An 18,603-nucleotide genomic window follows, 5' to 3' on the forward strand; every position below is an offset into this window, starting at 1 on the left:
TGATCCACCCGCCTCGGCATCCCAAAATGCTGGGATTACAGGCTTGAGCCACCATGCCCGGCCATGTAATGTTCACATACTCTTTGTACAATGACTAGAAAATAACTTAGTTTTATATTTTTATCAATCTGAGGTCTAAGAGTATTAATTGTGGAGATATTTTTGGTTCCTTTTGTCCCACGAGATATTTTGAGTGAGGACACTGTAGTTGTCACTATAATTTGACTTTTAAAAATTCTTAGTCAAGTATGTAGCTGGAGAGGCAGTGTCATTCATCAGAACTATACCCAAATTTAACAGCTAGAAAGTCTGCTCTGCCTGAGTAGATGTAGAACTCGGTGACTTGGGAGATGTCAGTTAATCTCAGAGTCACGGGGTCTCTAATTCCTCAGCTCCCTTCAGGTGTTGAGTTGTATGATCCCATTATCTTGGCTATATATGTAATGGGACAAATGGGGAAGTGTCTGACAAGCTTTACCAAGGCAGGACAAAAGACTGAAAAAGAAGCCTCTGCTAAACCAATTAAGAAACAGTGTTACAAGTTGAATGCCTATCAGAAATACTCTTCATGTATTTTTTTATAGGTGGTGATATTCGTGAAGAGTCTTCCTATAAAGTAATTGTCATGCCGACTACGAAAGAAAAATGCCCCCGTTGTTGGAAGTATACAGCGGAGTCTTCAGATACACTGTGTCCTCGATGTGCAGAAGTTGTCAGTGGAAAATAGTATTAACAGCTCACTCGAGCAAGAACCCTCCTGACAGTACTGGCTAGAAGTTTGGATGGATTATTTACAATATAGGAAAGAAAGCCAAGATTTAGGTAATGAGTGGATGAGTAAATGGTGGAGGATGGGAGTCAAAATCAGAATTATAGAAGAAGTATTTCCTGTAACTATAGAAAGAATTATGTATATATACATGCAGAAATATATATGTGTGTGTGTATCTGTGGATGGATATATGTATATCTCTTCCTATATATATCCATAGTGGACTTATTCAGAACATAGATATGTATTCAGCTTGTCTTCAAATACGGCCAAGCAGAAAATGTTTTATATTTTATAAATCATCTTTTGACTCTGTATTTAAATTCTATGATACTGAAAATAAAGGCATTCTGGAAAAATACTGACTGATTTTGGTGCAGAAGTTTTGAGTATCAAGTAAAAGAAGTATAGTTTTGAAAGGGAATGGCGGAGGCCTGTTTCCCTTAAGAGGTGAAGGGTCATTTCATTCTTCCCATTAGTGAACATCAGCCTTTTCAGAATAGCTAGTTTTTGGGGTTGGATCAGAAAGAATATAATCACCAAATTTGTTACTCAAGAAAGGAAGAAATCTCTTAATAGTTAGTTATACTTATGAATGTTTAGGAAACAACATGAAAGCTGAAAATTTATTTCACTAATATACATAAGAAGTTCACAACAATGAACAGACAGAAAATAGCAGTATATACAGAATTTCACTACTTACAGTACATTACAATAGAGAAAGCATTTTATAAACAGTTCAGTATTGGATTAAAATCTTTTAAGGATGGCTAATTCTATTCAGCAGGAATCTAACTTCTAGACACCCAGCAAACCCATTCCTATCAGGGTGAGAGAGGGCTTTTGCTGTTGCTATAGTGTACTGTAAAAATATTTGTTCCTTATAAATGAAGTGGACCACAGCAACTTCTAAATGAACATTATATTCAGTGTAAGTCTCATATTATTAAATTTCAGATTTTTGACTTTTTAGATCGCAATTGTTTTTAAAAAGCAATTTAAATGTAACAGTGTTTACTTTGACCATAGATGAAGTTTTATAATAAAAGTAAAACTTTTTTTTTCTGTTTGCAAAAGTATGAAGCATTAAGAAGCATGGTGCTATATATCTCTTTATCTACATTTACCCTGGCCCCTCTAGTTCTGCATCTAAACAGAACCTGTAATGTAGAAGTTATGATTATTTGAACACTTTTTGTTTTCCTTCAGCATTATACAATATAATTTAATAAGATACAAATGCATATTTAATGTTTGTTAATGAAGAAAGTTGTGTGAGGGTGGGCATATATCTAGGAAAACACTACTGGTTACTGGCTTCTCATCAATAACTACAAAGTACCACATACCTTTGTTTCAGAAACCACCCATTCTACATTAAAATCTAATTCCTTTATCATCTATGGCTCTTTGTTATTATAGAATGTCTACATAGGTATTTATTTGCCTTTCTTCCTATCAATCAGATTTATTTATTTTAAAAGCCCTTGATAAGTAGTAAAATATTTAACTGCTTTTCTTAACCATACAAGTCAGAATTAGATTTTAAAATTCTATGAAAAATTTTAGGATAACAAATCTAACTAGAGACTTAATGATTTGTGTTAGGATTCTGTGAGCCATACTTCAGCTTATTATTGTTCTCAGCAATCCCCAGATTTGATTGTCTGTTCTACCAGAGTAAGCTTAACCAGTTTTATTATCTAAAATGCTTAATAAGTGCCCCCTCCCCGCCAAGTGATGATGGAATTGAGGATTTATTCTTTAAAAATACCTATAACTCCAAGTTTCTTTGACTAGCCTCCTTAAGTTCATACTACTACTTTCAGCGTACTTGGAAAAATCACAGGAAGAACTAATCTCTTAGAAAACATATAACAAGTGACTGTTAACACAGAGCCAGATATGTTTACAAGAATTCTAGGATGTGTGTGGCTGGGGCAGCGGAGACCCAAGCAGAGGCTGGGAGGTTGGACTAGCCCTTTCCAGTGCTGCTACTCTGTAAAATGTATGTCTCAATCAGACTCACAGGCCCCCATCCCAAATACTCAAGACATCTTAACCATTTATCTTGTAAGATTTCAAGTTTGATAGTTACTTAACAGTAATTACTAAATTTTAGCCAGTTAAATTCTTGTTTGGATGTGCTCTTTTAGCTCAAAAAACAGATTTGTTTTTCTTTTTATATCCCTGAAGGACATACTCCTCAACTTTGCATGATTACTATAGTTGGCTTCTTAAGGGGAAGTGAAGAAACAAACTTCTGTATCACAATGACTTACTATGAATAATAATTGTGATCCATGACAGATACCCATAATTACACTGTATGGCTACATTCTAAAAATATACCACAATAAATACTTGGTATTTGTAGAGCTCAAAGCACTCTTTTACAGAGTTTTGGTTAGTTTGGTTTTTTCTTTTTTTTTTTTTTTTCGAGACAGGGTCTTGCTATATTGCCCAGAATGGCCTCAAACTCCTGGGCTCAAGCGATCCTCCTCCAGCCTCCCGAGTAGCTATAGTTTGGTTTTAATCAGTAAATATTTATTTAGCACTTGGACTGCTCTAGGCACTATAGGGTACAAAATTAGTTGTATTTTATCCTCTCATCCCAGCTGTGAGGTAGGTTTGCTAAAGCTGTAATACCACTAAGCAGTTTTTTCAATACTGTTCCCAAGGACAGATAATATTAGCAAATCCCAGAAGCATTTCTAAACACTTGTAGGAAAAATAAAGTCGGACTTAAAATTTTTAGTATCTTTGCCTTTTTTTTTTTTTTTTTTTTACATAAGTTTTACAAGATAATACATTTTTACAGTGACCTGATGTGGATACAACTTTGCAACTTGGCAAAAAGCAAATCTTAACTTACATTATAATTAATTTGCTGCATTTTACACATCTCTGATTCTCAATTTTGGCAAGTACAACAGGTTAAGGGTTCTATTTAGTGTCCCCTTCTGATGAATATGATGATCTTGAACCCATTCTTCCTCCTCAAGCACGGTCATCCTCCTCTGATGGCAACAGCAGAACCTCTGGGAAAGGAACCTTTCGGTATCCAGAACTCCCAGGTGGCAGCCCAGTGTGGGATTTGGAGCATGACAACAAAGGCATTTTCTCAACATTTACTAAAGGAGAGTGGGGTGTTCTATACGCTACTGATGGGGACTGTACATGAACACATTTAAATTGAATTACAACAACATTTTAGATAGGAAATATAGAATCTTATAAGAACATAATCTAAATTATAACCAATTTTAAATAGCAAAGTTTAACAATAAAGCTACTTAAGTGTTTGAATTAGAAATAAACAGTAAAACATCTGTATTAATTATAACAGAGTTGACATTTGTTTATATTTTATCTTCAGTATTAACCAAAGGAGTGGAATTTAGCCAGGGTTGCACTTTTTAAAAGTTGTATATACTTTTATTTATTTTACAAAAGGAAAAAAAAAGACATACTTTTCCCATAAAATTCCAGGTCTTACTATGTAAAATAACCATGCACTACTTCATGTTATAATCATAATTTTAGACTATTTCCAGTAGGTAAGTGTCATAAAGAAGGAAGAGATATGGCTTCCACAGCTTCAATGAGGTGTAAGGCTAGACCATATTGCCCATGTTTTTCTGGTAAAAGCTCAATTACTTTATTTACTAGTTTAGCTGTTGTTGCAATTGGCACTTCAGTGTTTTGAAGGTCCTGGGGGTCCTGCAAATGGGACACAAAAATAACCTATTATAGACAACTAAACAATAATTGTTATTGACTTAAGAGTTATTACATAAAAATGCTTTTCTTTGTAACTAGGTGAATTAAACTTGTCAAATTTTCTTCATAACTGTTATTAACCAGGCACTCAAGAAAACATCCAATGACCTTTTGCCTGATCTCGTTCTATTGTACTGACCATTGCTTTCAGCCAAGTACACAGTGTGGGTGGAAGTCTGGCAAGCAGCTCCATTCCTTCTTTTGTCTGGGTGTGGAGAAGCGCATGAGCCAGCCTTTGCCCCGTGAGCACCAGCAGCTGAGAGGCAAGGACCTCTTTGTCATGAACCTGTAGAATGGCCTGAAGATAGGAACATGGAGAAATAATACAGTCAGAGTGAGCAGATTTGTTTATTCTATAGGAAAGGGGTTGCCAGTGAAGAGATTCTAGTTGATTTTTGAACTGTGGCCATTTATCTTTTGATTGTATACAACCAAAGATAAATCCAAATCAAACTTAGCATTTAAACCCAAATTTCTGTTCCTTGGTTAATTTTTTTTTCTCTCATCACCTAATCTTTCAATTCAATGTGGCTACTCAGTGTGCTGTTTTCAAACTTTTGGCAAATAAAAGGAGTTTCATGTCATGTCTATTTGAAACCCTCTAATGGCTTTTTTTTGTTGTTTTTTGAGATGGAGTCTCACTCTGCCACCCAAGCTGGAGTGCAGTGGTGCAATCTCAGCTTACTGCAGCCTCCACCTCCTGGGTTCAAGCGATTCTCCTGCTTCAGCCTCCCAAGTAGCTGGGATTACAGGCACATGCCACCACGCCCAGCTAATTTTTTGTATTTTCAGTAGAGACAGGGTTTCACCATGTTGCCCAGGCTGGTCTTGAACTCCTGACCTCAAGTGATCCACCCACCTTGGCCTCCCAAAGTGCTAGGATTACAGGCGTGAGCCACCACGCCCAGCCCCTCTAATGGCTTCTGAATACACTTAGAATAACCATGGGCTCCGAGACCTAGGATAGGGCCATGGCCCGGGCCAGCCTCCCTGCCTCATGCCATACTTCTTTATTCCTTGCTTACTATGTTTGGTCAGCCATACTGGCCTTTCTAGTCCTGGACCTAGTCATTCTAGTCCCCACCTCAGGGCCTTTGTAATTCTTGTCTCAAGCACTGTTCCCCCAGTTTCTGAGTAGCTGGCTGCTGCTTCTCCTTGGGGGCTCGGTTCAAATGTCACCTTCTCTGACCACTCTACTGTAGTGGCTCCTGTTTATTCATATGATCCTGTTTCTTTCTTTTTCAATTTAAAAATAAATATTTTTTTCCTTTTTAGAGACGGGGTCTCGCTATATTGCCCAGATTGGTCTCGAGCTTCTGGGCTCAAGTGATCTGCCACCTGAGCCTTCCAAAGTGCTGGGATTACACGTGTGAGCCACGACACCCGGCCCTCTTTATTTTCTTCATAGCACCTATCATTCAATGCAAAATTTAGCATGCTTTTCTGCTCCTACCAGCAGACTATCAAGTCCATGATGAAGGAACCTTGTCTGTTTTGTTTACTGCTATATCCCTGTGCGTAGGGCAGGCCTGGCACACTGTAGGAATTATTTGATTATAATTTTATGTTTTAAAAAATATTCTATTGTTCTATTTTTATACCTAGATGTTCTAATAAAAGGAAGAGCAAAAGGCTTCATTGGAAACTTAACTGATTCTTTATTCCAACTATCAATTTTATAACTTGAGCCCAATTAACATTCAAAGGGTCATGATTACCTCTTCTCCTAAGTGGTCAACTCCATAGTTGTATAGTTCCCCCACATAATGCCTTCTAACAACATCTTCACTAACTTGAAGGTGATGGGCTAAATCCACAGCTAGAGCTGGCCAATCTTGGTCTTTCCCAAAAGGAGTGGGTGTGGCCTCTTCTGTGGGATCTTTGACCTTTGTGGCTGAATGTTGGGCCTGGACAGCTGCACTGACAACTTTCAATAAGAACTTGAAAATGGAGAAAGAGATAGAGCAATGCATTGTTACTGTTTCATTTTAAAATACCTAAACCAAGTATTGTTAGCTTTTCTGTCACTTATAGTGGCTTTTCCATTAAATTGTTTAGTTATCAAAAAAGGAACACATCATTTAAACAACTAGCTCTCAAGAATACTTTGAAATTGGTCTTTTTTAAATATTATTATTATTTTTTATTATTATACTTTAAGTTCTAGGGTACATGTGCACAACGTGTAGGTTTGTTACATATGTATACATGTGCCATGTTGGTGTGCTGCACCCCTTAAGTCATCATTTACATTAGGTATATCTCCTAATGCTATCCCTCCCCCTTCCCCCCACCCCACGACAGGCCCTGGTGTGTGATGTTCCCCACCCTGTGTCCAAGTGTTCTCATTGTTCAACTCCCACCTATGAGTGAGAACATGTGCTGTTTGGTTTTCTGTCCTTGCGATAGAAAGTAGTCATTCTTTTCAAAAGCCAGCTAGATTTTTCCCTTATGTTTTTTTTTCCAAGAAACAAAAACAAAATCCAATAGCTATAATTTACCTGTTGTCGTACAGAAATAAAATTTGGATCCATTTCCCCACTAGGTAATAACTGAATTGAAGTTAGGTCTTTGAAAAATGCATTTTTTCCCTAAAAAGAAAGAGAGCAAGAAAACTGATGAGTGTGGATTATTAAGGGGGGAGAGGGAGAAAGATTTGTTTAAAACTTAATAATAACTTATGGTTGATTTTTATTTCTCCTTGAACAGTAAGATTTTAGAATAATTTTTATAACAATTATCTAGTATATAGTAGACAGCCTTTAAGATGAAACCCAGTGATCCCCTCCTCCTGGTATTCGTGTTTCCTATAGTCTCCTCTCCTTGCATGGAGGCTGATGACTTGCTTCTAGCAACAGAAGCAGGTAGAGGTGATACATGTTACTTCCAAGACCACGTTCCAAAAGACTGCTTCTTCTGCCTTGAGGCACTCATATTCACTCTCACTTGTTCTGCAGGAAGCCAGGTTCCGTGTTGTGAGCTGCTGTATGGAGAGGCACATGTGGCATAACTGAATCTTGCCAACAATTGTGCTTAGAAGTGAATCACCCTGTCCCCATCCCAGTTGAGCTTTCAGATGCAGCACCTTAACTACAGCCTCATGAGAGACTAAGCCAGAGGCACCTAGATAAGGAGAACACAGATTACTGACCCACAACAACTGTGAGATAATAAATATTTGTTATTTTCAGCCAAGTTTTGGGATGATTTACTCCGCAGTAATAGCTAAGTAATACATATATGTACCCTGAATCCTTTTTTTTTTTTTTTTTGAGACAGAGTCTCACTCTGTTGCCTAGGCTGGAGTACAGTGGTGTGATCTCAGCTCACTGCAGCCTCCACCTTCCTGGTTCAAGCGATTCTCCCACCTCAGCCTCCCAAGTAGCTGGGACTACAGGCGTGTACTACCACGCCAAGGCTAATTTTTTTGTATTTTTAGTAGAGACGGGGTTTTCACCATATTGGCCAGGCAGGTCTCAAACTCCTGACCTCAGGTGATCTGCCCGCCTCAGCCTCCCAAAGTGCTGGGATTACAGGCATGAGCCACCGCGCCCAGCCTCTGAATCCTTTTAAAAACACTTGTTGAATTGTTTAAAAACACCTTATTTAAAAGAACAGATGTGTGTCTAAAGAGTAAAAACAGAATATCAGGAAACAGGATTTTAGAAGTTCCTTGGAAGGAAATGTAATACAGAGCAAAGAACATTGGCCTTTAAGTTGAAAGACCTGGGTCTAGTCCAAGGCTCACCACTTCCATCCAGGTTGCCTTGGGTAAATGACCCACAATCTTGGGTTACCGTTTCTTCTTCTGCAAGCAGGTCATCCTAGGTATCTTCCAATGTGCCTTCCATACCTAATCATCTGTGATTCTAGGTCATCTGTTGTGACTGCCAAGTAGATTAAAGCTACTCATCCTTTAGTGATAAGAAAAACCGGACTTACAGGGCAACCCATGACATTTTGGACATCACTGAGAGAAGTATTTAAAGATTTAGCATACACTCACAATCTGTTACTCGATAGTTCCCACCTGGTGGTCCTAGCTATAGCATCTATAATAGCACCACTTATTATTTACTACATTCCAGATGCTGCTAAGTACTTCATGTTGAATACAAGGAACCCTTACAACAACCATGAGGCTGGCACTGCTACTTTCTGAATGAGAAAACTGAGAGTAAGAAAATCTAAATAATTCTAGTTAGCAAATGGTAGCACCGGGATTGTTTTCACTAGCCACTCAACCATACTAGCTCTCTGCAGATGAGTGTCACCCAGCTGTCTCAGGTAGTCTTGGCATGACATGGGTTGAAACTAAACATTATTGTGCTAATCCAATTCTGGATGTGTTCTGGTTTCACAAAGGCCTTTTCTGATGGGAATACTGAGCTAGGCACTTTATTTTGGTATTTCTTTCTCTTTTTTAACTTTTAAGTACTCTTATCGCTTATATTCTCAAAGATATACTAACTCATTCAAAATCTATACTTTTTTTTTTTTTTGAGACAGAGTCTCACTCTGTGGCCCAGGCTGAAGTGCAGTGGTGTGATCTTGGCTCACTGCAACCTCTGCCTCCCAGGTTCAAGCGATTATCCTGCCTCAGCCTCCCAAGTAGCTGGGAGTACAGGCACACACCACCATGCCTGGCTAGTTTTTGTGTTTTTACTAGTGACAGGGTTTCACCATGTTGGCCAGGCTGGTCTCAAACTCCTGACCTCAAGTGATCTGCCCACCTTGTCTTCCCAAAGTGCTGGGATTACAGGTGTGAGCCACCATGACTGTCCGGGAGTCTCTCATTTAAGGGTGAAATAATAAACCCACTTTCCCACAAGCCTAAGCTGTGTTCTCTAACCCAGCTTCTATCAGTAAAAAGCTAAGTAATAATGTTGACGTTTTTGTCTCCAACAGTTTGTCCTGTCTCTCAAAATTTGACACCTGCGTGGGGAAGGAAAGGATTTTACTATCCACTGCAGCTAAACTGTGAAGGTTACAATAGAATATGTAAAAACATATTCTACTCACAAATTTGGACTTGATCCTGCAGAGGAGCCAAAAAAAATCTTAGGTATAGAACTAATACAATTAAACCTGTCTCTTAGGAAGACAGCTCTTGCAGCATGGGACTGGAGAGAGAGAAACTGGAGGCAGCGTGATTAAGAAAGGGCTGTTGTAATAGCCGAGGGAAAGATGATTATGCCTGAACTAGGGTTATAGTCATGGAGAGAAACGGACAGGCATGATCTATGGCAGAATTTACAAGAATGAATTTACAATGAAGAAAATTGGCTTGAAGTAAGGAATTGGTGAGATAACTTCAAAGTTTCTAGTTTTTGCCAGGGCAAAAATGATGACATCGTTAATAAAATAACCAAGTCAGGGAATTCAGAAGGAACAGCAAATTTAGGTTAGGGGCAGGATGTGGGTATTGGTTTGCAGATATATTTTAGATATGAGGTGTCTGAAGTCCTATAAGACACTCAAAGAGAGAAGTTCAAAAGAAATGAATGCCTCAAACTCTAGGGATTGGTCAGGCCTAGAGATATATAAGAGGGAGAAAATGAGTCTGTCCAGGAATAATATGGAGAATGAGAAGAGCAGACAGCTGAGAGGGCAAAACTCCAAGGGGAGCAGTACAGAAGGTAAATAAAAAGAACGGAATCAAGCAGGGAATGAGGGAGTTGGAACCTCACACCAAATTATACCAGTCACAAAAGTACTGGACAGCTTCTATTAAATATGAAAATCCATGTGTCTGCTAAGCCTGCAACTCCAAAATAGCTCTGAAATCCTGTGAGGTACTTACCTTACTGTCAAAAAGTGAAAGTGGCTTCACGGTCTTCAGAGAAAACCTCATGACTGCATACAAGATGGAGCACAGGATGGAGTGGTGCTCCACCAGTGGGTAGTGGATGTGCTTCTGTTCAAGGGCCAGTTCCACTATGGAGATTGGTCCTTCCACGGAGAGCCACGCATCCTCAGTATCCAGCACAGGCACCTGTATTTCATCCCTGCTAACATCTGCCTAAGGGTTTTGAGAATGGAGGACTGTGTTCAGTAATGGAAAAATAATAGCTTACAAATATCCCAATGAGTTTATTAGCAGCAAAGTGCAAATTCATATTGCACACTGTCCCAAATTGTAATAAAAAAACACAAAGTCTAATTTCAATAAGAATTTAATAAGAAAACATCACTACCTTCTGGGCTCAAGTCAAAATTTAGAAATGAATGAATGAAAAACAACCTCATTAAAATAGTCATTTATTAAATGCAATGGTTTGCAGAATATGTAATATCTTAGGAGCAGTTCAGAATGAAAAATACACCTCTTTTACCTCCATTAAGATCTGAAGAAGATCCAAACAGGAGCCGAGGAAAGATGTCATTGCTGTGTCACTCATTCCCACATCCTGTTTTTTAAAAAGGAACGTAATTAGGCCCTGCAGGAAAACTGCTATAGTTACTGTCAGCCAAACAAGAACCAGGATACAATACACTGGTTCAGCTGACTTTCCACACTGAATAGACAGGCAAGAATTTGAAAGTCAAGGCATTAGCATATTTAAGTTCCTTCTTTTAGATTTACTGTCAACCAATTTTAAAGTCAAGCTTTACAAAGTGGTATAAATATTGACTTTTAAAAAGTAGTGTTCTTTGTGTATTGTAAAGAAACAGCCTCATTAGTTACTATAGATGGTGGCACTTCTGAGCTCACTGTTCAGCTTGCTAAGGCATCTGGTAGCCAAATAATCGTGGTAGATGGAAGATACACACATGAGAATCTAACCTGAAAAGCTCCAAGAAAACAGCCTGGTCTGCTTTCAGAGCGTCTTTTAGAGACTGAACCCGACCCTCTGAGCAAAACTAGAATCCTCAAGCTTGAGAACTAAATACCAGATTGATGCTGTGAGCAACAGACGATTCTCAATGACTCCTTTAAAGGGCTTGTCCAAGGGACCACTGCATTTGTGTATAATCTTTTTTTTTTTTTGAGACAGAGTTTCATTCTTGTTGCCCAGGCTGGAGTACAGTGGCACGATCTCGGCTCACTGCAACCTCCACCTCCCAGGTTCAAGCGATTATCCTGCCTCAGCCTCCTGAGTAGCTGGGATTACAGGCGCCCACCACCATGCCTGGCTAGTTTTTCTATTTTTAGTAGAGATGGGGTTTCACCTTGTTGGTCAGGCTGGTCTCAAACTCCTGACCTCAGGTGATCCACCAGCCTCGCCTTTCCAAAGTGCTAGGATTACAGGCGTGAGCCACCGCGCCCTGCCATATAATCTTTTTAAAACCAACAATCTTATAATTTCCTCACATCCCCAAAGCAAATAATTCAGTGTTTGTGGGTACATGCACACACACATGCATGCACACACACGTACACACTCTAGTCATACAACCATTCTCAAGAACACATCAGAAAAAGTCTTCAACAATGGAAGCTAGTACTATTAATTTCTTGGGTCAAATACAAGTCCCATATCCATGGATTAGAATATTAGTTAAGACTAATGTTGTATTTGTATACTTATGTTATTATATATATCATATATATAGGTAGATCAAATTAACTACTTCATTTGAACCTGCTTCAATTTGATGTTGGATGCTTCCATTATAAATGTCTAATCGGAATATGCAGCAATGGTAGCATGTTAACCTGTTCACAGTTCAAAGCTGAACAACATCTTATAAAAACCTAGTTTAATATGCTATCTAACAATCTGGAAAAGTAAATTAAAACTGGCCATAGTTCATGACCAGTTTCCTTAATGCAGTATTCTCTTTTCATTTTTCTTATCTCCTTCTGATACGTCATCACAATGATAAAAGGCAAAGTTCACCTATACAGTTAATAAAGTACTACATAAAAGTGTGGAATTAACAACCATAATTCTAGCTATGGGAGATTCACTTACCCTTCGGCATAACCTATCTTTTGGTGATTTTCCAACCTAAAATAAAAAGATAAAATGTTGTAACATTTAATAATTTAAATAAAAAGACATTACTATGGCACAAATAATAAAAAGTAACCGAATTTAAAAACCGTAAATGGCGCTATAAGTAAATGTGACAGCCTCATTAATTAGCTGTTGGCTCTACCAACAGTAGATGCAATTAAATTGGTGGTGAAACTTAATCTCACACTGGGCTCAAGAATAATCCTTTTCAAATATAAATTACATATTTCTGAACTATTAAATAAGTAAAAACTCTAAAAATCTGTACAGTCAAATAACTGTGTTGCCTAAAAACCCAGAGCCTGGGCCGGGTGTGGTAGTTCATGCCTGTAATCCTAGCACTCGGGAGGCCAAGGTGGGCCGACCACTTGAGGTCAGGAGTTTGAGACCAGCCTCGCCAACATGGTGAAACCCCATCTCTACTAAAAATACAAAAATTAGCTGGGCGTGGTGGCATGCACCTGTAGTCCTAGCTACTCGGGAGGCTGAGGCAGGGGAATCACTTGAACTCAGGAGGTAGAGGTTGCGGTGAGCCAAGATTGTGCCACTGCACTCCAGCCCGGGCAACAGAGTGAGACTCCATCCCACTCCTACCAAAGAAAAACTAAAAAAAAAACCCAGAGCCTAATTCAGGGCTACTAATCAAGAACACCTAAGAATTCAGCTTGTTGATAAAGGCACAATTGTTTGAAATAGAAAGAAAGGAAAACCACTCTAAAGCACATGGGAGTTATATTCCTAGCCCAGAAAAATTTCCTTACGCAATAAGTACTTATTAAGATTTTACTGTATATGTCTACAGTGTAATAAGTGGGAGGCAAAAGTTCTGCCCTCAGAAATACTACTTGATAAGAGAGGAAACTCACAGGAGACATTGGAGAAAAATGTCACCTCACTACCACTTGCTGGGATTACTGCAACAGCCTTGGAACAACCAAGATCAGCTGACCCCAGTCCCAAGATATTTTGTCTGTTGCCAGAATCATCTTTTTAAACACAAATTTGAATATATAATTCCTCTGCTTAAAACTGCCCCAGTGTCTTCAATATAAAATAATAGCTACCATTTACTGAGCCCTTACCACATGTGCCAGACCCTGTGCTAAGCTTACACATACTACTAGAAAATCCAAATTCACAGCCTGCACAGGAATGTCTTCATCTTAGCTTTTCTTTTCTTCTAATATAGCCTATGTTCCAGCCATCCTAAGCTACTTCTAGTTCTCTGAATCCAACAAGTTGCCTCATATCTCCAGGACTGCTGGGATATACTTTCCTCTCACCTACTTTTTACTGGTATATATATAGGCATCCACCAAAATTTAAGTCAGAAGCCTTCCCCTTGTTTTGTTATTTATTTCCTCCTCTTCTGAGCTCCAAACACTCCCTATTGTCTGTTTACCTGGTGTTCAAACTGTGAGCTCTTTGAGGGCCAGGACCATAACTTCCATTGGTTCAACCACAGAACCTAGCATAGTCTTGGCACATGAGAGATAACACATTATAATAAAGACTTATCCAATCACAAATTTCCTACTTCCTGGTTTAGGACTGTTTTTGCCCCAAAGTAGTGAAGATCAAAAGTGATTGTGGATGTGAGAATGCTGTGAAACTACAAATTGTAACACACATAAATTACATTTTACTGTTATTCTCTCGAAAGACGAGGGGGTAAGAGGTGAAGTTGAATAGGAGAACAACATCATAAAGGCCAAAAGATGCAAGTTCCAAGAAAGAAGCTATTCAGTCAAGGAAGATGAGCACAGAGGAAAGAATGGTTAGATTTAACCAGAAAAATGTTATCAATAACATCAAAGAGAGTAATTTCAAGGGGAGCAGTGGCCTAAAGTTGGGTCTTGGCTGTGGTGCTATTCATGATGCAGGAATGACTGTGACTATACATTTAAAAGAATATGTTATCTTTACAGTGGTAATTCTCTTAGCATCCACTCATCTGATGCTACACTAATCTACATTGTTGAGTGGCCTGTAAAACACACTAACTAGTGTCCCTGGCCACTCAGCTGGAGGCTAGGCTGGTACTGTCGGCATGCTAGCAGCTTCTGCTCCCACCAGTTGAGTTCTATGCTTATATGTTATGCTTGTTCCCAAAGCTACTCATGCTGGTTGTAGATGTCACTGTAATTATGTAATTTAATTCCATAACTGATGAAATATGAATGAGAAAAAAGGGGGAGTTATTTCCATGAATGCTATGTTGAATGCTTTGCAAAGATTTATAGAGGAGAATAACTCCTAGGTCTTTTGGATTAGATACAGAGGGAACAACTATAAAAATTATAGAAATCTAAAGGTTTTGGACTCAGATTACACAACAACTTTAAAAAAATAAGATCTAGCCATGATAGGCAATACATTATGGGTGAGGTTTACACAAGAAAACCAAAGGAGAATGCAATCAACTCCATTCAAAGAAAATATCTTGGCCTTACATCAAAGATTGGTAAGTGTAAATTTGTACACTTTAATTTAAAATAAAATGCAAATCCTTGCTTGAATCAACTACCAGTCCTAATCTCTTTAGTTAAGAGGCTTTTATAATATATTAGTCTCTTTATGAGGATTTAGAGTCCTTCTTTATGTCATTAAAATGCCAGTACTGGGCATTACATTTAACTGAGTATGAGTAAAATCTAATTATCAAATTAAAAAATAGTCTAACAAAGCCTAATGTGAACAATCTTTCTAATATTAGTCAAATAAGAGAATCAAATAAATAAGAAGTCAATACATGAAACTACCTTACCTTATCCATTAAGTATGTAGCAGCAGAAAATCTTTTAACTAAGAACGTATTCCACATCATCAGTGCAATGCCTAGATAGCAAGTAAAAGTAGTAAATAGAATGCTTATATAGTCTCACTTTTATTACACATAAATTACTCTTTCTTAAGCTTATTAAACTATATAGACTATTTTGATTTCATTTTTTATATCTCATGTAATATTTATAAAGTTCATGAAATCTTTAATTTCATTTAAAATCTGATTTAATAAAAATCAGAACTAGGCTGTATAAGAGTATGTCTAAATTGCCACTAAGCATGAAGAAAAGAGTCACATCATTAGTTATGAGAGAAATACAATGTCACAGTGAGACAGCATTACATAACCACCAAAAAGGCTAAGAACAATTTTTAAATTATAATACCAAGTATTAGTGAGGATATGGAACAAATGGAACACTCATGCATTACTGGTGGTATAATAATTTGGTAAAACCACAGGGAAAACTGCTGGGTGGTAGCTACTGAAGCTAAACATGTGTCTGCTCTATCACCCGACAATTCTGCTGGGTATATACACTAGAGAAATGAATACAGAACATATGTATGAGATTGTTGGGAACAGTTTTATTCCCAACAGCCAAACACTAGAAACAATCCCAATGTCTGCCAATTGATTTTTTTCACATATAACTGCAAACTAAAGTATGTAGTTATATAAAAAAGTATTAAAAACAAAATATATAAAAAACAAACAAACAAACAAACCAGGCTGGGCAACATGGCCAGAACCCATCCCTATGAAAAAATGTTTAAAAAATTAGGCATGGTGGCACATGGCTATAGTCGCACTCGGAGGCTGAGGTGATAGCATAGCTTGAGCTCAGGAGTTCAAGATTATTGTGAGCTATGTGTGCCACTATACTCCAACTGGGGTAACAAAGCAAGACCCTGTCACTACTCATTGAGCTGTGGCATTAACATTAAATTTCTGAAACAGTTGTCAATTAGGCAATGTAAACATGGCATTTCACATGCTATTATTACTACCCTTGTAGCTGAGTCTGTCTATGAGTAAGGCCCATCACAGGCTATGAGAAGCCAGGAACCCTACTCGATGGGTAAAGGTACAAATATGTAAAGGCCTGACTTGAAGAAATACTAGTCTGAAGTCAGTTAGTAACTTAATTTTTTTTTTTTTTTTTTGAGACGGAGTCTCTCTCTCCCAGGCTGGAGTGCAGTGGAGTGATCTCTGCTCACTGCAAGCTCCGCCTCCTGGGTTCAGGCCATTCTCCTGCCTCAGCCTCCCGAGTAGCTGGGACTACAGGCACCTGCCACCATGCCCGGCTAATTTTTTATATTTTTAGTAGAGACAGGGTTTCACCATGTTAGCCAGGATGGTCTCGATCTCCTGACCTCGTGATCCGCCCGCCTCGGCCTCCCAAAGTGTTGGGATTACAGGTGTGAGCCACTGCGTCCGGCAGTAACTTAATTTTATCAATAAAGATAGAATAATCTAAACATGATATTTTCTAAATCAGTCAAGGTAAATATATAAATACATACATATATATATATATATATATATATATATAGGATGAAGGTAAGATCTAAGAGATGAATAAGTAATTTTCAAGTTCTCTTCAAGTAAAATGGGATATTTTACAATTTCTGCAACTGGATTTCATGTCACCTGCAAGCATGTGATAGAGGTGAAAAATACATAGCTTCTCTAGAATTTATTACAGAGACATAAGGTGATATCTCCTCTTACCCAGCCTAACACCAAGTCTCATCATTTACTAAGGTTACTAACTAGCTTAGTGCTGATATCCTCAATTCCTATAATGAAACCCATCTATCTATTAAATGGAATCTGTTTACAAGTTCAATATTTTTTCAAGGAGGCATCAGTAGTTGCCAAGGCAGCTAATGGAGAATATTCACATCCATTATAAGACGCACAAGATAGTTGCTACAGTCTAATCTTATTAGGCTTTTGGCTACCAAGATTTTTTATTAAGAATTGCAGTCCTGAGAAATCCATCCCTCTTTCCTTCACTATCTGTGAAGGGTGTAATGAAGGCAGCTGTTCTGCATCTATCATTGATTCCCTCTTTCCTTGGAAAGCTAGATACAGAACAGCTGCCTTCATTACACTCAGGGATAGTAGTCAGCTGCTTGGGGAACAGAAGTGGTGATTACTATCAGTTGTTTTGCCCCTTTATAAATAGCACTTTTCCAAGTAGTTAAAATGGCCAGTACTGTTTTTTTTTTGTTTTGTTTTTTGTTTTGTTTTTTTTTTTTTTTTTTTAGAGACAGGGTCTCACTCTGTCACCCAGGCTGGATGCAGTGGTGTGATCATAGCTCACTGCAGCCTTGAACTACTGGGCTCAAGAGACCCTTGCACCTCAGCCAATACACAGTAATATGTTAGGCTGCAGGATAATCAAATAAAAATTTAATAGGTTGTAAATCTTTAAATTCACATCCTGTTAAATCAGGAAGCCTCTTTTAGATCAAACAGTGATGTTTCTAACATCTGTTTACTTACCATTTTGAACATGTGCATTAAATATTTGCTTCAAGTGTTCTATTGACCTAACAAAAAAACGTGCTTCCTTACATACAGGGAGAAAAAAACGAGAAAGAAAAAGAGGTATCATTTAATAGGTTTTACCATTATCAATGGAGACTTCTTACATAAATTTCTGCATAAAACCACCTAAGAATGTTGCAATAATAACATGAAATTATTGGATAAGAAATAACTTTTGATAAACTGTCCCTCTTCAACTCACATTACCTATACAATAATTAATTCCCAGAAGCTCCTCGGTCATATGGGCTAACATCTGGATTCAAATTTGCTGTGGTTTGAACATCATAGCAATATTCTCTCCAATAAATACTTGAATTTCATACAGATTTAAAAACAATAAGCTTACTTTTGTAGATACTATTCATTCATTCATCATTCAACAAATATTTATTGAGTATCTAGTATGCACCAAGCCCTATTTGAAGCACGATGGATTCCATAATGAACAAAACAGACCCCAAGTCTTGCCTTCACTGAGTTTAAATTCTAGTGAGGGACCTATATAATAAACATGATAAGTTAATATATTATATTTAGTATGTTAATGGTAAGTGCCAAAGAGAAAAACATTAAAGCAGGAAGGAAATATGAAATATTAGATGGGATGTTTGAAATTCAACTCTTTCTAATCAAAGAAGTTTACATATTAAAACTCAAATACAGTATACAACACTGATTAAATAATTTAGATATCTGCTAAATAATTTTGTAGCTTGTACATCATCATCAAA

General features: G+C 37.8%; 2 protein-coding genes across 2 annotated transcripts in view, besides 1 other annotated feature; one reads left to right on the plus strand and one right to left on the minus strand.

Moving 5' to 3' along the window:
* Positions 1 to 1,133, plus strand: part of IARS2 (isoleucyl-tRNA synthetase 2, mitochondrial) — a 53,910-nt gene extending 52,777 nt beyond the window's left edge. Inside the window, exon 23 of the mRNA NM_018060.4 lies at positions 585 to 1,133. Coding sequence (NP_060530.3) covers positions 585 to 727 — 143 coding nt within the window. The 3' untranslated portion in view covers positions 728 to 1,133. The remainder of the gene's footprint in view (positions 1 to 584) is intronic.
* The window catches only part of RAB3GAP2 (RAB3 GTPase activating non-catalytic protein subunit 2), a 124,161-nt gene continuing 106,942 nt past the window's right edge, over positions 1,385 to 18,603 (minus strand). The window contains exons 27-35 of the mRNA NM_012414.4: positions 17,825 to 17,891; positions 15,290 to 15,360; positions 12,478 to 12,513; positions 10,894 to 10,968; positions 10,362 to 10,580; positions 7,060 to 7,149; positions 6,277 to 6,498; positions 4,698 to 4,856; positions 1,385 to 4,498 (exon numbers count right to left, since the gene is read on the minus strand). Coding sequence (NP_036546.2) covers positions 4,343 to 4,498; positions 4,698 to 4,856; positions 6,277 to 6,498; positions 7,060 to 7,149; positions 10,362 to 10,580; positions 10,894 to 10,968; positions 12,478 to 12,513; positions 15,290 to 15,360; positions 17,825 to 17,891 — 1,095 coding nt within the window. The 3' untranslated portion in view covers positions 1,385 to 4,342. The remainder of the gene's footprint in view (positions 4,499 to 4,697; positions 4,857 to 6,276; positions 6,499 to 7,059; positions 7,150 to 10,361; positions 10,581 to 10,893; positions 10,969 to 12,477; positions 12,514 to 15,289; positions 15,361 to 17,824; positions 17,892 to 18,603) is intronic.
* Positions 7,356 to 7,556: a silencer, noted in NCBI's record as "peak705 fragment used in MPRA reporter construct". NCBI's record gives its function as "represses an SCP1 promoter by STARR-seq MPRAs in K562 erythroleukemia cells {active_cell/tissue: K562}" and the evidence as "EXISTENCE:reporter gene assay evidence [ECO:0000049][PMID:32103011]".

This window comes from Homo sapiens, chromosome 1 (genome assembly GCF_000001405.40).
Source record: "Homo sapiens chromosome 1, GRCh38.p14 Primary Assembly".
NCBI lineage: Eukaryota > Metazoa > Chordata > Mammalia > Primates > Hominidae > Homo > Homo sapiens.